The 20321-nt window shown below is 37.4% G+C and overlaps 1 protein-coding gene across 6 annotated transcripts in view; it reads right to left on the minus strand.

Moving 5' to 3' along the window:
- The window catches only part of PPP2R2B (protein phosphatase 2 regulatory subunit Bbeta), a 500779-nt gene that overhangs the window by 442976 nt on the left and 37482 nt on the right, over positions 1-20321 (minus strand). The window contains exon 3 of one of the 6 annotated variants that reach the window (NM_181677.2): positions 11452-11523. The exons of the other annotated variants lie outside the window; for them this stretch is intronic. Coding sequence (NP_858063.1) covers positions 11452-11461 — 10 coding nt within the window. The 5' untranslated portion in view covers positions 11462-11523. The remainder of the gene's footprint in view (positions 1-11451; positions 11524-20321) is intronic. 6 annotated transcript variants of the gene reach the window in all.

Below are 20321 nucleotides of genomic sequence, written 5' to 3' on the forward strand. Positions count from 1 at the left end.
AGTGTGTCTGCAAGGGTGTTTCTAGAAGAGATTAGCATTGGAATCAGTAGACTGAGTAAAGAAGATGACCCTCACCAATGTGGGCTGGCATCTTCCAATCCATTGAGGGCCCAGACAGAAAAAAAAAAAGTAGAGGAAGGACAAATTTGCTCTTTCCTGGAGATGGGACATCCATCTTTTGCCCCCAGGCATCAAAACTCCAGGTTCTTGCGTCTTCATCTGCAGAATTTACACCAATGCCCCACAGGCCCCTCCAGTTCTCAGGTCCTGCACCTGGGGCTCGGAGTTCCATCATTGGCTCCCATCATTCTTGGCCTTTGGGCCCAGACTGAGTTACACTACTGGCTTTCTTTATTCTCCAAATTGCAGATAGCATATCATGGGACTTCTCAGCCTCCATAATTGCGTGAGCCAATTCTCATAATAAATCCCCTCCTCTATCTATCTATCTATCTATCTATCTATCTATCTATCTATCTATCTATCACCTACTGGTTCTGTTTCTCTGGAGAACGCTAATACACTGATAAAAGGGTCAGTACATCAGAAAGACATTAATATATTAAATGCAGATTGGCCCTATAAAACAGCTTCAAAAATGTAAATAAAAAACTAACTGAAGCAAAAGGAGAAATAGACAAATCCACAATAATATTTGGTAATTTCAACATTCCTCTCTCAGTAATTGATAGAACAAGTAGAATGAATATCAGTAATTACGCAGAAGATGCAAACACATTATTATCCAATTTCACTTATTTGACATTGAAAAACACAACACACAACACCTAAAAAAATACACATTTTTAAAAAGTATATGTGGAATATTCACCAAGAGATCATATACTGGGCTACAAAGTGAGGCTCAGAGAATTTAAAAGAACTAAAATCACACAGAGAACACTCTCTGGCCACAAAAGATTAAATTAGAAATTAATAACAAAAATAGAGCTGGAATGTCCTCCAACATTAAAAATTAAACAGCACATTTCTAAATAACCCAGTGGCTCAAAAATGTCAGAAGAGAAATTCAACAATATTTCAACTAAGCAATGATGACAAAACAGTGCATCAAAATTTATTACTTGCAGATAAAGGCACACTTAGAAGAAAATTTATAGCTTTAAATGCTTATGTTAGAAAATATAAGTTTTAAAATCAATGATCTAAGCTTCTACCACCATAAGAATACGGAAAAAGAAGAACTGAGCAAACCAAAGTGAAGAAAAGGAAGGAAATAAAGATAAGAGCCAGAATAAAAAATGGAACCACGAATAGGCCCTTTGAAAAAAACAATAAAATTGATTAACCTCTAGTTGGACTAATGAAGGAAAAAGAGAAAGAGAAAAAAAATTGACGATATCAGAAATGACAGAAGGGATCTCATTATAGGTCTTACAGACTTTAAGAAGAAAATAAGTGGGTATTATCAACCATTTTATGCTAATGAATTTTCCAGTTCAGAGGAAATAGACAATTTCTAAGATACAATTTAACAAAACTGATATGTAAAGAATCTGAAAATTCCTATAATCTACTAGAGGAATCACATTTTTAATAATAAAAAATCATCCCCAAAATGTGGATCCAAATGGTTGCAATAATAAATTCCTTCAAATATTTAAGAAAGAAATACCAATCTTATGTAAACTCGCTCAAAAAATGGAGAAGAAAGAAACAATCCCTAACATGTTATAGGAGGCAAGCATTACCCCAACGCTAAAGTCACGCGAAGACATTACAAATAAAAAAAAAACCCCGAAATAGGAGAAAATCTTTATAACCTTAAGTTAAGCAAAGATTTCTTAGATATGACACCAAAGCATGATCTATAAAAAAGACATTAATAAACTGAACTTCATCAAAATTAAAAACTTCTGCTATGTAAAAGATACCGTGAAGAGAATGAAAAGATAAACCATAGGCCATGAGAAAATATTTGTAAATCACATACCTGATAAAAGGACTTGGATCTAGAATATATAAAGGACTCTCAAAACTCAATTATAAGAAAGCAAACAATCCAATTGAAAGATGGGCAAAATATTTGAACAGACATTTCACCAAAGAAGACACAGAGGAAACTAAAACTGGAAACAGATATGGTAATCCATGACAAAATGTTAGCATTTAGAAGTAAGCAAATAAGAACATAAAAAGATACCCTGCTTCCTTAGTCATTATGGAAATATAAATTCAAACTGCAGTAAAATACCACTATACTCTTAGTAGAATGAATAAAAATAAAAAGACTTTCTCTACCAAATGGTAGTGAGAATGCTGAGGAACTGGAACTTTCATACATTGCTGGTGAGAATGTAAAATGGCACAATCACTGTAGAAAACAATTTGACAGTTTCTTAAAATGTTCCCCTATCGTATGATCAAACCATTCTACACCTAAGTACCTACTCCAGAGGGAAAAAGGATAGATCTCCATATAAAGAATTGTCCATGAATGTTCATAGCAAGTTTATTTATATAATAATAGCCCCAAACTGGAAACAATCCAAATATCCATCAACAGATAAAGTACGGTATATCCATACAATGGGACACTTCTCAGCAATAAAAAGATCGAACTATTGCTACACACAGTAACATTGATGAATCTCAAAACAATGATGCTGAGTTAAAGAAGCCAGGAAAAATACATACTCTATGAGTTTATATATATAAAATTCTAGAAAATGCAAACTAATCTACAGTGGCAGAAAGAGGGCTAGGGAAAGGGATGGATTACAAAGAGGCACAAGAAACTTTTTGAGGGTAATAGATATTTTCATTCTCTTAATTAGTGATAGTTTCATGTGTATATATCTCTCTATATATGTCAAAACTTATGTACTTGTGCATTTTATTATGTACAATTTACTGTAGGCCAACTATACCTCAACAAATTTAAAAAGTCATTTTAAATAGATAACTATTTAAATAAATATTTCTCAAAAATATACAAATGACCAATAAGCACATGAATAAATGTTCAATATCTTTAGCCACCAGGGAAACAAAAATTAAAACCATGAGAAGATACTACTACACACTCACTAGAATTCTCAAAAAGAGTGGCAATTGCAAATGTTGGCCATTATGTGGAGCAACTGGAACTCTCATACACTGCTGGTGAGAGTGTAACTACTTTGGAAAATAGTTTGGAAATTTCTTATAATACTAAATATGCACTAACCACATGACCCAGCAGTTCTACTCCTAGTATTTACTCAGAGGCAATCAAAGCATGTGTTCTCAAAAAGCTTTCTAAAACACAGTTCCCGGTAGCTTTTTTCATAATAGAAACTGGAAACCACACAAATATCTATCATCAAGTAAAAGAATAAAAAAATTTTGGTATATTCACACAATAGAATACTATGCAGTGATAAAATGAAGGAACTACTGACATGCAATAACATGGATGAATCACAAGAACATTTTGCTGGAATAAGTCAGACAAAAAGGAACGCATACAATACAAATCCATTTATATCAAGTTCTACAAGGATAAGCCAACATATAATGATCAAGTCAGTGTGGTTATACAACATTGCAAATGTACTAAATACCACTGCATTGTTCATCTGAAAATGGTTAATTTTATGTTGTATGGATTTCACCTCAATTAAAAATTAGTGGGCCGGGCGCGGTGGTTCACACCTCTAATCCCAGCACTTTGTGAGGCAGAGGCCGGCGGATCATGAGGTCAGGAGATCGAGACCATCCTGGCCAACATGGTGACACCTCGTCTCTACTAAAAATACAAAAATTAGCTGGGAGTGGTGGCATGTGCCTGCAATCCCAGCTACTTTGGAGGCTGAGGCAGGAGAATCGCTTGAACCAGGGAGTCAGAGGTTGCAGTGAGCCAACATCGCGCCACTGCACCCCTCCAGCCTGGCAACAAAGCGAGACTCGGTCTCAAAAAAAAAAAAAAAAATTTAGTGTGGATGGCTAAGGAGATTCACTCTAAATGGTCACTAAGTAATCTTTTTGGGATGATTGAAATGTTCTGTATCTTCACTGTGGTGATGATCAATGGGAGTATATATGTGTTAAAACTCCTTGAATTATACTCTTTAAAATGGGTGCATTTTATTGCATATAAATTATGTCCCAACAAAGTTCATTTAAAAATACATTTTCTCAACTTCACTTTCAATTATTGGTGCTTAAGTGTCTCTTTTGGGCGATGAGAGATAAGAGAAGTCCGTGGTTGGGGCTTCCAGGACATCTTTTTAACAAGAGGCAACTCTGCTGTCACGGACTTTGTGGCTTTTGTCTGTACTTCAGGCAGATGAGACCCTTGAAGTTGACTTTATCAACAGCTTTCCATGCTCTCTGACTGCTGGTTGGGTTTAGCCTATAGGAATTCCCAAGAGGAGATAAGAGGGAAGGTGGGAGATATTTACACACACGTACTATTTTCTGCAAGGTCTTCAGTTGGCTTTACCTCTTAACAGAAGACCTTGGCTCCTCTAGAAACAAAGAACTCAATAGGACTTCTCATTTTTCGGATTCAGTAACCTCTTCTCCCTTCTTGATCCTGCAGGACCAAGGCTAATAATAATTTAGCCCCTGATTACTGCACTATGCTTTTTAAATTGAAGAGTAACAGGTATACAGAAAGGGCACTGAATGCTGATTTTTTTCACCCATTTTACCACCACCTAGATCAAGAAATAGAATGAATACTCAAAAAACACCTTTGGATTCCTACCTCAGTCATTCCCCATTTTATCCCAAAGCAAACACCATCGTAACTTCCGATATTTTGTTTTTGAAATGTGTATAAATGAAGCAATACAGTATATTTTCATTCTTGTAAGCTGTCCTTTGTATAAATATCTCACAATTTACTTGGTCATTCTATTTTTTATGGACTTTGAGTTGTTTTCATTTAGGGTTATCATGAACAGTACTGCTATGAACATTCTTATACATGTCTTTTGGTGAATATATGTATGTGTTTCTCTTGGATATATACTTAGTAGAACAGTTGGATTTACTGTATGGGTATGTGCAGTTTTAGTGGATTTACCCATTTTCCAAAGTGGTTGTAATAATTTATACTCGCACTGGTAGCATATGAGATTTTTAGTATCACAATATCCTTAACAACCATTGATATTTTTAGTCCTTTTAATTCTAGCCATTCTGATCAGTATGTCGTGGTATTCCATTGTGGCTTTAATGTGCATTTCCTGATAATAGAATTGATTACATTTTCAAGTACTTATTCTCTTTTTTGAAATGCCTGTCAAGTCTCTTGCCTATTGTTCTATTGAGCTGTCAGAGTCTTTCTTATTTGTAGTTCCTTATAATCTGATGTTAAGTCTGTTGGTAGTCACCTGCTTTGCTAACCTATTTTTCTACACTGTGTCTTGCCTTTTTAGTCTTTTAACTCCTTTTTTTGATGAATAGAAAAATTTAACTTTAATGTAGTCTAATTTATCAATATTTCCTTCTATGATTATTATCACCTTTTATGTCATTTTAAACGTTTTAACCTACCTAAGGTTGTCAATATTTTATCTTATGTTATAGTCTAGAAAGTTTAGTGTTTTATTTTACACATTTTAAACATTTCATCTGAAATTGCTTTATGTGCCTGTGGTAGGGACCAAGATTATTTCTCCCCAAATAATTTCAAATTTTCTCCACACCATTTATTGAAAAGACCACATTTTCTCCATTGCTCTGCAATGCCATCTTTTCAAAAGATTGGCAATCCATATAAATGTGTTTCTGGACTTTATTATATTCCATTGATTTGTTTGTTTGTCCTGTATCCAATACCCAATATCTTAATTATTGATGCTTTATAAGATATCTTAATAGATGGTGTTCTAGACTGAACTGTGCCCCCCTGCAAATTTATATATTAAAACCCTAACCTCCCAATGTGACAATATTTGGATAAAGGGTCTTTAAGGAGGTAAATAAGGTTAAATAAGGTTATAAAAGTGAGGTCCTGATGCAATAGGACTGGTATACTTATAAGAAAAGGAAAAGACACCAAGAGTGGGCACGCATAAAGGAAAGGCCATGTGAGGTCAGAGCAAGAAGGAAGCTGTCTGCAAGCCAAGAAGAGAGGCTTCACCAGAAACCCATCCCGCCAGCACCTTAATCTAGCCTCTGGAACTTTAAGAAAATCAATCTCTATTGTTGAAGCTACCCAGTCTCTGATATTCTGTTATGGCAGCCCCAGCTGACTAATATAAGTGGAAAATTCCTCTACTATTCTTCCAATTGTGTTGGCTGGCTTTTTGTGCTTTACATTTCTATATAAATTAAGAATTAGCTTTTCAGTTTCCACAAAAACAATCCTGAAATTTTTATTAGAATTGCATGTTGCTGTATATCACCTAGGAAAGAATAAACAACTTTACAATATTGAGTCTTTCCATCTGTGAACATGATATATTCCTCCAGTCACTTGTCTTCCTTACTTTCTGCTAATAAAGTTTTTTGGTATTGATGTTTTGACCCTCTGTACTTAGATTTATTCCTAAGTAGTTGATGTTATGTTGCTCTTATAAATGATATAACCCCCCAAATCATTTTAAATGTTTTTTATTATCATGTGAAGATATAAGTTCATTTTACATGTTAATTAGGTATCTAAACACCTTGCAAAATCACCTGTTGATTCTAATAGTTTGCCTATAAGTACTTTCATATTTTCTATGAAAATATCCCATTAAAAAGTTCCCTTCTACATGAAGCTTGCTGAGAGATTTTTTTTCATGCTTATTGATAATATAATTTTTAAAAATTCAGTTCTAGAACTAGCCTTTAGCTTTTTAGTCCATTTACAATTAATGTAACTACCATAGGTTTATTTGTTTTATTTTGGGCTAGGAATGTATTTTTAACTTCTGAAATTTCCCTCTATTAGCTTGTAACTGATGAATTATTTTACCATTTAAAAAATATTGATTGCACCAGAAATTGCAACATACATCTATTAATTATTAAAGTCTAATTTATATTAGCTATCTTACTACTTCCCCGAAAGTCTAAGAGAGCTTAATAACTTTAACTCCCTTAATCCCTTCCTTCTGTTATTTGTGTTATTTTTGTCCCCTGTTTTAAACTTTACATGACGTTATTATTTCTGTTCATTTTTCTATCAACATACAACACTTTTCATTATGGTTCACTCACTTCTGTATTTTAAATGCATGTCTCTCCTTGCAATAAATTATCTCATATTTTACTCGTTTAAAAACATCTTTATGGCCGTGCGCGGTGGCTCACGCCTGTAATCCCAGCACTTTGAGAGGCCAAGGCGGGCGGATCACGAGGTCAGGAGATCGAGACCATCCTGACTAACACGGTAAAACCCCGTCTCTACTAAAAAATGCAAAAAATTAGCTGGGCATGGTGGCGGGCCCCTGTAGTCCCAGCCACTCGGGAGGCTGAGGCAGGAGAATGGCGTGAACCCGGGAGGCGGAGCTTGCAGTGAGCTGAGATCACGCCATGGCACTCCAGCCTGGGCAACAGCGAGACTCCACCTCAAAAAAAAAAAATCTTTATTTTGCTTTTATCTTAAGGGTTATTTTATTAGATAGAGCATTCAAGAGTGGCAGTTGGCTCCTTTCAGCATTTTAAAGCTGTGACTATTGTCTTTGGGGTTCCATAATTTCATTTAAAATTCAGCTGTCCAACTGTTTTTGTTTTCATAGTAGTATGTGTTTCTCTCTATTTTTAAGATTTTGGTTTTCTTTTTAGCAGTTCTACTATGATGTGTCTAGGCATTGCTTTTTTTTTTAATTTATCTTGACTGGAGTTAATAACAGTTCTTAAATCTGTAGTTCAATGGTTTTCATAAATTTTAGAAAAATCTCAGCTGGTATCTCCTCAAATATTGATATTGCTCATTACCTCTCTGTCATACTTCTTAGACCTCAATAAAAAATATGTTACTATGTCCCTTGTATCTTTAGGCTTTTTTCTTATTTTCTATCCTTTATACTTAGGCACATAGACCAATGGAAAAGAATAAAGAACCAGAAATAAACTCAAATACTTACAGTCAACTGATCTTCCACAAAGCAAACAAAAACATAAAGTGGGGAAAGGACACTCTTTTCCACAAATGGTGCTGGGATAATTGCCTAGCCACATGTAGGATAATGAAACTGGATTCTCAACTCTCACCTTATTCAAAAATCGACTCAAGATGGATTAACAAGCTAAACTGAAGACCTGAAACTATAAAAATTCTAGAAGATAACATTGGAAAGAACCCTCTAGACATTGGCTTAGGCAAGGATTTAATGACCAAGAACTCAAAGCAAATGCAATAAAAACAAAGATAAATAGCTGGGACCTAATTAAACTAAAGAGCTTTTTGTACAGCAAAAGGAACAGTCAGCAGAGTAAACAGACAACCTATAGACTGGGAGAAAATCTTCACAATCTATACATCTGACAAAGGACTAATATCCAGAATCTACAACGAACTCAAACAAATCAGTAAGAAAAAAACAAACAATCCCATCAAAAAGTGGGCTAAGGACATGAATAGACAATTCTCAAAAGAAGATACACAAATGGCCAACAAATATATGAAAAAATGCTCAACATCACTAATGATCAGAGAAATGCAAATCAAGACCGCAATGTGATACCACCTTACTCCTGTAAGAATGGCACTGGAACAGAGGTGTGTCTATCTCGTTTGGTTACATGAATAAGTTCTTTAGTGGTGATTTGTGAGATTTTGGTTCACCTATCACCCAAGCAGTACACTCTGCACCATATTTATAGTATTTTAGCTCTCACCCCCCTCTCCCTCTTTCCCCCGAGTCCCCAAAGTCCACTGTATCATTCTTATGCCTTTGCATCCTCATAGCTTAGCTCTCACATATCAGTGAAAACACAGATGTTTGGTGTTCCATTCTTGAGTTACTTCACTTAGAATATAGTCTCCATTCTCATCCAGATCACTGCAAATGCTGTTAATTCATTCTTATTTATGGCTGTGTAGTATTCCATCTTATGTATATATACCACAGTTTCTTTATCCACTTGTTTATTGATGGGCATTTGGATTGGTTCCACAATTTTGCTATTGTAAATTGTGCTGCTATAAACGTGCGTGTGCAAGTATCTTTTTCGAATAATGACTTCTTTTCCTCTGGGTAGATACCCAGTTGTGGGATTTCTGGATCAAATGGTAGTTCTACTTTTAGTTCTTTAAAGAATTTCCAAACTCTCCTTATTGTTTTCCATAGTGGCTGTACTAGTTTACATTCCCACCAGCAGTGTAGAAGTGTTCCCTGTTCACTGCATCCACGCCAACATCTACTGTTTTCTGATTTTTTGAAAATTATGAGACCATGCTATAGTGACAAATGAAAACCTTAGGTTAATAAAATAAATATTAAATACTCAAATTAAGAATGCAATCAGTGGACCTAAAAGCTGCTGTACTATAACAGTAGAGAAGATTACTGACCAGGAAGTCAGGCCAATAAATGTTTGGTCCTGGGCCTCCTTCTATTTTCAATTTCTACTTTTTCTCTTAATAACCACCCATGTGCATGGCTTTAACTACCATCTATACCTCTCATTCTGTTCTCTTCCCAAAACTCATGGCCTATTTGATGTCACTCCATGGAGGGATGATACACAACTCAAAGTTAATCTTACTAACTTCTCCCATTAGAACATAAGTTGCATTGGAACAGAGGTGTGTCTATCTTGCTTGCTACTGTATGACCAGTACTCATAACTTAGTCTAGAACATAGTAACAGATATGAATGACTATTTGTGGAATGAACCCGAGAAGATACTCATAGCTAGATTGTACTTCTTTTTGCTTAGATGACTTCTGACTGGAATGGGGTTGGGAAGGTTTTAGGGGGTTTGGGATGGAGACAGATGGTGGGTTGGGAGGTAATGATTCATCCTCATTCTTTGCTATCTATAAGCCTACATAGCAAGTCAAGCCTTCATCACAGGGATGCCACTCATATTTCCCTCATTGACACCATACTTAAACTTATCCAATTTACTAGCAATCCTATCAACTCTGCCTCCAAAATAATTGATCCAATATCTATTCATTTCTTTACATCTTCTCTGCTGTTGCATTAATCCAAGCCTCTGTCCTTTCTTGTCCACTGTGATAGCCTCTTATTGGTATTCTTGCCTCCTACTCTTATTTCCCTATCATTTATCTCCACACAGCAACCAAATACCTTAAAAATAACAAAAAAAATTAAGTCCTTGACCTACTTTAAACTGCAAAGGTTTCCTATTACACTGAAAATAAAGCTAAGTTTCTTACTATGGTGTTTAAGGCCATATATGGCCTAGCGCCTACCTTCCATACTGACTCTGGCTTCATCATTCTTCCCCTTGCAAACTAAGCTCTAGCCACACTGCTCTGCTTTCTTTTATGCTAACATAGTAAGCTCATTATTGCTTAAGGTCCCTTTTACTTGCTTTTCCCTCTGTCTAGAAGATCCTCTCCCCTGGTTTTTGTATGGCTGATGACCTCATGTCCTTCAAATCTTTAGCTTCCTGGACCACCATATTTAATGGCCACTCAATCTTTCATTATCACACTATCCTGTATTATCTTCTTCACATTTTTTATAGCTAACTCAAGTTATTTTCTAGAATATTTTTCCTTTTATTGTCTGTTTTATTCATTACCATTTTCCCAGCATCTAAAATAATAGTGACCCATAATAAAATAATGACCCATAGTAGGTCCTTATTACTTATCTGTGGAATATCGCAGTGAATGACAATGAAAGGAATATACTCTCAAGCTCTCATGCCACTGCTCTTCTAAATGTCATTTCTTTGGAATGAGTCCATGTTTATTTTTTCTTTACTTAAAGGGAAATAAGTAAAGTTTAAAATCCGTAATTTTTTCCCTATACCCTGTCTCTTCTTATAGAACTATTACATATTTCTTGTAATAATAATGATTGTATATGTTCAATTGATCTTTTATTCCTGTCAATGTGCTAGATTATCTCATTTATTTATTACATCAACCCTCTAAATTAGATCCTATTATAAAGTGTACTTTATAGATAAGATGTATGAGTTTTGGAATGTTTCCATTAGTTTCTCAAGACCACAAAGCTAACCAGTATTTCATTTTACTTTCTCAAGTGAACTTTAGGAACCAGGTAATGATAAGATAGACTTTGGATAACTGATGACTGAAACTTTTTTAAAACAACCCTTTTGGTAATCAGTGATGGTGGTAGAAGGAGGGAGGTGTGGGGTGGGGGGAGGAAGAGGAAGGGAGAGAGAACACTTCATATCATGACAGCCAGATAAAACTTTGGTAGCAATCTCTGAACTCAGCTCATTTAACATCATTCCCAGAAGGAAGGTGCATTAGTTCGTTCTCACACAGCTATTGTATAAATAACTGCCTGAGACTGGGTAAATTATAAAGAAAAGTTTAATTGACTCACAGTTCTGCATGGCTGGGGAGGTCTCAGGAAACTTACAATCATGGCAGAAGGCGAAGGGGAAGCAAGGCACATCTTACATGGTAGCAGGAGAGAAAGAGAGAGAGTGAGGGGAGAAGGTGCCACACTTTTCAACCATTAGATCTCATGAGAACTCTATCACGAGAACAGCAAGGGGGAAGGCCTCCCCCATGATCCAATCACCTCCCCCGAGTTCCCTTCTTCAACATGTGGGGGTTACAATTTGACATGAGATTTGGGTGGGGACACACAGCCAAACCATATCAGAGGGACAAACCAAAGTCAGGTCATTCTCTCTGAATTCCTTTGTCTTCTGTTAGAACAACCCACTAATAAGTAGACTCTCAAGGCTTTGGGTTCAGGAAAATCAGAAAGACTGACTTTGCTTGACCATTTAATCTTGGGGCTTAGCTTGACATATTTATTCTGTTATCCAAGAAACAAAATTACATGCAAAGTAGAAAGTCATTTACATCTGCCAAGGAGTTTAGTTTGAAATAGGAGAGAATGGAAAGAGAAAAATAGTTAAGAAAAATCTTAGGAAGATAAACAACCTCAAAGACCAAGAGTCTGTCTTAATATAACTGCAAATGTTTTAATGAAAACTGAAGGGAAAAAAAAACAGTTTGGATGTCTAGATAATTGATTAAAATTTTAATTTTCTACCTGGTTGTTTGGTACTATAAAAATATAATCATGCTAAATCACTTCACAAAGTGTTGTAATAAATGTTGCTTTTTCTCAATGGATTTTCTTAGAATTTTAGTGTTCTGTATTACTATTTTGTGTATAAAGTACAGTGATTATTTTTTAAAATTTCCAACTTTTATTTTAAGTTCAGGGATACATGTGCAGGATGTGCAGGTTTGTTACATAGGTAAACGTGTACCATGGTGGTTTGCTGCACACATCATCCCATCACCCAGGAACTAAGCCCAGAATCCATTAGCTATTTTCTTCCTGATGCTCTCCATCCTCCCACCCTCCACCTTCCAACAGACCCCAGTGTGTGTTGTTCCCCCAATGTGTCATTGTGTTCTCATCATTGAGCTCCCACTTATAAGACATAACATGCAGTATTTGGTTTTCTGTTCCTGTGCTAGTTTGCCAAGGATAATGGCCTCCAGCTCCATCCATGTCCCTGAAAAGGACATGATCTCATTCCTTTTTATGGCTGCACAGTATTCCATGGTGTCTATGTACCACATTTTCTTTATCCAGTCTATCATCGATGGGCACTTAGGTTGACTCCATGTCTTTGCTATTGTGAATAATTCTGTAATGAACATATACATGCATATATCTTTATAATAGAACAATTTATATTCATTTGGGTATATACCCAGTAATGGGATTGCTGAGTCAAATGGTAGTTCTGCTTCTAAGACTTTGAGGAATTGCCACACTGTCTTCCACAATGGTTGAACTAGTTTACCTTCCCACCAATAGGGTAAAAGCATTCCTTGTTCTCCACAACCTCACCAGAATCTCTTGTATTTTTGACTTTTTAATAATAGCCATTCTGACTGTGAGATGGTATTTCATTGTGGTTTTGATTAAATGCAATTATTTTACGCATTTGGAGGATTAACCCTGCCCTTAAAATCCATTGACCCATAGCATTAGAAAGACTTTTTGTGAAATTTAGTAATGGCTTAATTTGTGTCTAGATTAGCCAGTGATGGTTGCAATGGAGAGGAAGTATGAAAAAGAAAATCAACAAATTCTATTAAGCTATTGAAATGTGTCAGAAATTTTGCTAACCCCTCCATGAATTAGCTCATTTAATTCCACGTTAATCCTATACAGTCTTATTATGACTCAAGTTTTTAGATGAGCAAACTGTATGCCAGAGAGGTGAAGTAACTTTGCCCACGTTAGCATACAGTAGAGCACAGGGAACCCAGGCAGTCTAACGAGAGTTTAACCACTCCAGCATACAGCTCTTGAAGGAAACTACAGTAGCTTCAGGGAAAAAAAATTATTTTTGCCTAAGATAGTTAAATCACAGCAACAGGGGCTGTGGAACCAATTGTCTGAAAGAGTCTATACCACAGGCTTATTTAGGTAACCAGTATTCAAATCAGAAAGGGCTAAAGACAGAGTGACTTCTGGCATTATGATGCAAGAAAAACATAGCTACATGTGAGTAAATTGTTAGGCAAAAAAAAGTAGGATGGGAACTTATCCTTGAATCTCTGAGACAGACAAAGGGGTGTGTGTGTGTGTGTATGTACATATATGTATATGTATATATAGGTATGTAATTATAAATATATATATGTATCAATATATACATAAATACATTTATGTATTCAGGTTATTTGTTTCCTAACATTCATTTTTGTGCTAACATTCATTTTGAGAATTTTACATTGGGGTGTATGTGTGTGTAAAAGTATGTGTTGAGTGAGCAAGAAACTTTTGTGTATCATGGGATATGTATCTACGCCATCTGTAGAATGGCACAGAATAGTACTGAAAACCACCAATACCCTAAGAGTGGTGTGAGGAGGGATGAGTCAGACTGGGAGCAGCATTTCCTAACTGCCCACTCACAGGCACATTGCCAGAAGGCTTTATTTATTCTCTAGGTTCTAGTCTTCAGATTCATAAGAACAGATAATATTAATTTTTATAAGAATTAGAGTGATTAACTACAAGACTGTACTCTCCAGGGACTCTGTTTTATTTACCCTTGTTTACCAGCATCTAATATTCTGCCTGGCATAAAGTCAAGACCTAATAAATGTTTGTTGAGGGAATGAGTAATAAAGTTATATAATGTTTTGTATTTATTAGATCAGTTCCTGTTGGCGAATCATTGCCCTCCTGGGTCACGGAGAAGCTGGCACTCAGATTGTGTTATGGGATACTTTTAGAACCAAGGTTCTTTGACCCATTAGCAAACCCACTTCCTGGTATAGTTTTTAGGGGTTTATAGAGACATAAATTCAGTAAACAAGAAGTTATTGAGCTCTATTATTTGAACACTATCAGAGGGAACTGGGGATGGCTCATTGAACAAGCAGGCCAAATCCTTGTTCTCATAGAGCTTACATTCTTATAAGTTAAGCAACAAAATAAGTAAATGCGTAACATGAATGGGTGATAAAAGCTATGAAAAATCAGGGAAAGGAGAACGAGTTTGATGGAGGAATACTATATAGTGTCCCCTGGGGATTGAATTCTCCAGGGCCTAGAATCAATTTAATGAGAATTTTAAGTGACATTATTAAATTACTTTAAACACTTCCTTTATTAAATTACATTGATAATTTTTCAAAGATTTCAACTGCACCCAAATTATAAAGTTCTTGGGAAACTATTTTCTACTTTATGTTTAGAATTCTGTTCAATGAGTGGCTGGTGCGATAAAAGGATGGCAACAATGATCAAGAAAATAAACTTCTAGAGGAAACAAGGAACGAATTATAATAGCCAACATATTTTGGATACTTTCCCTATGCTGGTCAAAACTTTATGTTCATTATCCCAGTTTATCATCAAATGATTTCTGTGCAATAGGATTATTATTATCTTCTTTTTATGGCAAACAAGGCACAGTAAGATTCTGTAAGTTGCTCAACGTCACTTAGCTAGTAGGTAGAAAAATCCAGGATTGAACCCAGGTGGTCTGATCTAGGGCCAAATTATCCCCTTGTAGGATTAAGTAAACTGCCTCCAGAATCCAAGTTTTCTAACTGCTAAGATACACTGCTTCTTTAAAAAGTATAATGAAGTAGGAGGGCTTAAGTATTTGAGATTATTGATTTTTTTTAAACACAACTGCAACCCCCACCATGAAAAGATACAGTATTCCACAAAGACCTTTCTATTCCTTGAATACTACATTGAATTTATTCCAGCCTTTGTCCAGTCCTCTGTGCTTGCAGGTCCCTCTGCCTGGAATGCTCCCCACTGGGCTCTTCGCATTGCTGACCCTTTCCCATCAGTCAAGCCTCAGCTCAAATGCACCTCTTCAGAGATGCCTTCCCTGTCTGCCCAATTCCTGGTAGCCCATCACCCCTCAGTCACTGTAATGATTTACCCTGTTTTTATGTTCCCAGCCCTTATCACTATGTTAAAAGTTACTGATGTTCCCCATGGCTATTTTCCCCTACTAATATGCAAGTGCCATGAGGTGGGTGGCAGTATTCATTGTAATTGGTCCAGAGCCTGATCTCTGCCTGTACATCACAGAGGCTTCAAAAACACTGAAGAAATGAATGCTGTCCCTTGGGTCTGAAGACCCAGATAGATCCCGGGGGGCTCTACTTCTGTGCAGGATCATGCATCTGCCCACATTCTGTGCAGAATTAGAGTACAAGATGGGAAAAGAGAGATCTGCAACTGGGGCCTGAGAAATACTTACCAGTAAGCACCCAAATTAGCCACAACTGCTCAGAAACCTACCACGGAGACCATCTATGAAGGCTACTTGCAGGAGGACCAATTTGAAGGCAACTTCTGCAGTTAAGTATATGCAAGTTCATCATTTCAATTTTATCTGAATCTGCTTGTTCATGTCTTATTTTTAGTTCCCACCTTAATTTGGATCTAATGCTTGCCATGATTAATCAACCATTTCCTCCCACCAGAATGTAAGATGAGAGCAGAGATCCATCTGTCCTTTACAGTGCTGTGTACTCAGTGTCTAGAAGCATGCTGAACACATAGTAGGTGCTCAAGTAATACTTAATAAAGGGACCAACAAATGGCCCAACACTAAATTTCCTCTGTAGACAAAGGCAAGTGGAAGAGCAGAATGAAACATTTATTGAGTCCCTTCTAAGCCCCAGGCACTGTTTTAGATGTTTTACGTATCTTATTTCATTTGTTGACCCTGTTAAGTGGCAAGCTTTGAGAGCCTCACTTATAAAAAGCTAAAATTCATGGAGTGAAGATGCCTTTCTTCTTCCATGCCATAAAATCAGGTCTTGCTGGGCAAGTGGGTTTTTAAATGAACATTGGGTATCACTGGAAGCCTCAAACTCTAATCAGTTTGGTGAGGTCTATGCTATGACCTGATAATGTTGTTTCAAATAAATAATTATTCAAATAAATAATTTTGTATGATACCCTAGCATATCTGAGGATCAACAGAGAATTGTAATGAGAGCTTTGGCCACTGCCTCACCTATAGGATCACTTCCATTTATCATCTCAGCTCTAATTTATCTGAATCAAAGTTTAAAACAATTTCCAAACAGAAGACTAGAAATACTGCAAATAAAGTGAATTTGGAGGAGGCTGTTCCCAGCAGGTACAGAAAGCTTAGCCCAGGTCAGTTAGACAGGGACAAATGCAAGCTGGCATAGGGTCATGCTTGAGATTGGACTGGAGAAATTGTAGGAGAACCAGTTCATAATAAATGACTGTCCCAAATCCCCCGCCCTGAGCTCAAAATACTCAGGCTTGGCCCTTTACTTAGTGATGCTTCAGGGGCTCAGTGTGAGCAAACATGTAACATATACCCTGGCCCTGAATGACCTTGTTAGGTACTCCGTGTGAGGAAGGTAGCACTTACGAGAACATTCTTGAAGGTTTAATAACAGCGAAGTCTTTTCAGCTCATTCTGTGTGTAAATAGGGCCAATTTCAAGAAAAGATGAGTTTCCTTAAAAAAAAAAAAAAAACTGTAAAATAATAGTGCCATTACACATACCTCCCTCAGCCATTTAAAAATACCTTGAGGCTGGTTCTCTCCTGAGGGCTTATCAAGACACAAGCCTGCCAAGTGAAAGGTAGTCGATTCTTTATAGTGTATCCTTGAGGTGTTTTCCCCTCTTCACAGAGTTACTACTCAGGTCAGCACATTGTTCTAAGGTATTCCCAGGAATGTCAGAAACAGTCAAACCACTTTGCATGTAAGTACAGAGGCCAAAACACCACTCTGGAGTCCACAGGCTGGTTCAGTCCTGGTAGTTTACACTAATTCTCTGTGTGGTTTTGGGAAGCTCACCCAAGGGTTTTGGGTTAACCGCTCTGCAAGATGGTGGGCAGGATCTAAAAAGGGCTTCCATGTCACTTCCAACTCTGGCTGTCTGACTCGATGAGGACTGCCAAGGGCCAGTGGGTGCCCTCCTCTCCTCACAGGCTGTAGCAGCCATCTAGAAAATAGCTCTGTTCACAGGCAAGGGAGAAAATTGACATTGTTCCTTTGCTTCTGAGTTCACCTGTAAGACCCTTCCTTCAGCATTCTGCAGCTATGCTCTCTCCAACTGAGACTTAGAGAATTGGGCATTATAAACAGCAAATCTAATCCCCTTTTCTCCACCATCATTGTTCCCTGGTGCTAAGTCCAGAGTTTCCATACCCTGAACTAGACATGGAAGGAGGGAGGAGACTACGCAAAGTTCAGTGGTGCCATTTTTTTTTTAACTTTGTCATCCTAGGACAAAGTTTCTTGAAGTATTACACTTAGAGTTTTTTCCTTAGAAGGCACTGGGGTACTTCCTGAAGACGGTGATTCTTGGGCTTAGCTCAGGATCTACTGATTCAGAGCTTTAGGGGGGCTGTAAGTCCCCAGATCTTCATTTTCTTTATTTTTATTATTTGCTTTTTATTCATTTGTTTAACCCTTTTCTACCATAGCTTCATGGTGTCTAACACCTCAGTGACAAAGCTTTGTTGATGACAGTGTAATGCCCAACCTTGTTTTTACTAACGCTATTTTTAGACTCTCCCTTTCCTTTAATCACCTAGCCTTGCTTCCACCTGAATTGACCCTCCCTTAGCTAAGAGAGCCAGACAGACTCCATCTTGGCTCTTTCACTGGCAGCCCCTTCCTCAAGGATTTAACTTGTGCAAGCTGACTCCCAGCACATCCAAGAATGCAATTAACTGATAAGATACTGTGGCGAGCTATATCCGCAGTTCCCAGGAATTCGTCCGATTGATAACGCCCAAATCCCCACGTCTATCACCTTGTAATAGTCTTAAAGCCCCTGCACCTGGAACTGTTTACTTTCCTGTAACCATTTATCCTTTTAACTTTTTGCCTACTTTACTTCTGTAAAATTGTTTTAACTAGACCCCCCCCTCCCCTTTCTAAACCAAAGTATAAAAGAAAATCTAGCCCCTTCTTCAGGGCCGAGAGAACTTTGAGCATTAGCCGTCTCTTGGCTGCCGGCTAAACAAGCGGACTCAATTCGTTTCCAAGTGTGGCGTTTTCTATAACTCGCTCAGGTACAACAACAGGGTGGGGGATTGCTTTGAGATCTCCTAATTAAAAATGCCATAGGACTACCCAGATTTTTGGTTACTGAGTACAAATCTTCATTTTAAGCCAAATACTGTAGATAATTCTTATTTATGGTAGCTAACATTTGGAAACTACTGTCCTAGAAAAAGGTAGACAAAAACTTTTAGCCTTTTGCTGCTACTAACCATGATGATTATTCATTCATCCAACAAAGATTTATCATTCACTACTATATGCCAGGTAAAATAATGAGCAAAAACACAAAGTCCCTGTTCTCACGGAGCCAGCAGTCTAGCAAGAGAAAGAAATGATAAACAAATACATAATATGTCAAGTAGTAAGAAAATCTAGGCAGTGAGATGAAGGGTGAGTGATGGGAGGTGTGCTTTTCAGACAAAGTAGGCAGGAAGGTTTGTATGTAGGATGATTGTGCAAAGACAAAAGAAGTAAGGAAAAGAACCATGTGGCTGAGGGAAGAGCATTCCAGACGGAGGGAGCCACAAGTAGAAAGGCCCTGGAGAGGGGATGTACGTGGTCTGTTTGAAGAACAGCAATGAGTCCAGTGTGGCTGGAGTGAGGTGAGTGAAGAGGAGTTAGAGGAGATCAGGGGCTAATACCTTGTAGCTTGTTTGCGTTATTTCTAGGCTGCAGAATACTATACAGTCTGGATTGTGGAACAATGATTTGCAGTGATAATATATTATACACCTGTTCTTAGTCTTTTGTCCTTATTTATGCTGTAACTCCCTGTTCCTGGCTGAACTCCTGAAGACAACCTAAAATAGGTCTTTTGCTTGAGAATTGGGGCAAAGAATAAGAAAGCTTTGGGAGGGAGGTGCTATGGACTAAATTGTGTCCCCCTGCAAAGTCATAGTTTGAAGCCCCAACCCCCAATGTGGCTGCATTTAATAATAGGGCCATTAAGGAGGTAATTATGGTTAAATGAGGTTATTAGGGGTGGGACCTTAATCTAGCAGGACTGGTGGTGTTTTTGCAAGAAGAGAAACGCAGAGAAAAGACCACGTGAGGACTCAGTTGAGAAGACGGTCGTCAGCAAGCCAAGGAGAGAGACCCTAGGAGAAACCAGCCTGCTGGGACCTGGATCTGATACTTTCAGCCTCCAGAACTGTGAGAAAATAAACTACTGTTGTTTAAGCCACCCAGACTCGGGCATTTTGATATGGCAGCCTTAGCAAACTAATACAGGAGGGTAGGACCAGGAGGTCTTTATTTAATTATTCACCTATTTACTTCCTCAGACTTTGCTGCATGCTCAGTATGTGCAAGGCACTGTGCTGCTTCTTTGCATGCATTATTTTATTTAATCTCACAGCAATACTGAAGTAAGCTTTATGACCATCACCTTACAGATAAAGAAACAGAGGCTTACTTAGGGGCAGTCAGTTGGCCAGGGGACATGTTGGAGCTTTTATTCAAATGCAGGACTGTAACAGTAAAGCCTGTGTTTTCCCTACATCTCAGAAGCGGGAGAACAGAGGTGTGGAGCCAGCCTACCTGGGTCCAAATCCCACCTCTCCTGCTTGCTAACTATGTGACTTTGGGCAACTTACTTATCTTTCTGGGCTTTGGTGTCTGCATCTGTAAAATGGGGACAATAAATGCTTTCCCTTAACTAGACTGTAATT

The sequence above is a fragment of the Homo sapiens genome, chromosome 5 (genome assembly GCF_000001405.40).
Source record: "Homo sapiens chromosome 5, GRCh38.p14 Primary Assembly".
Classification (NCBI taxonomy): Eukaryota; Metazoa; Chordata; class Mammalia; order Primates; family Hominidae; genus Homo; species Homo sapiens.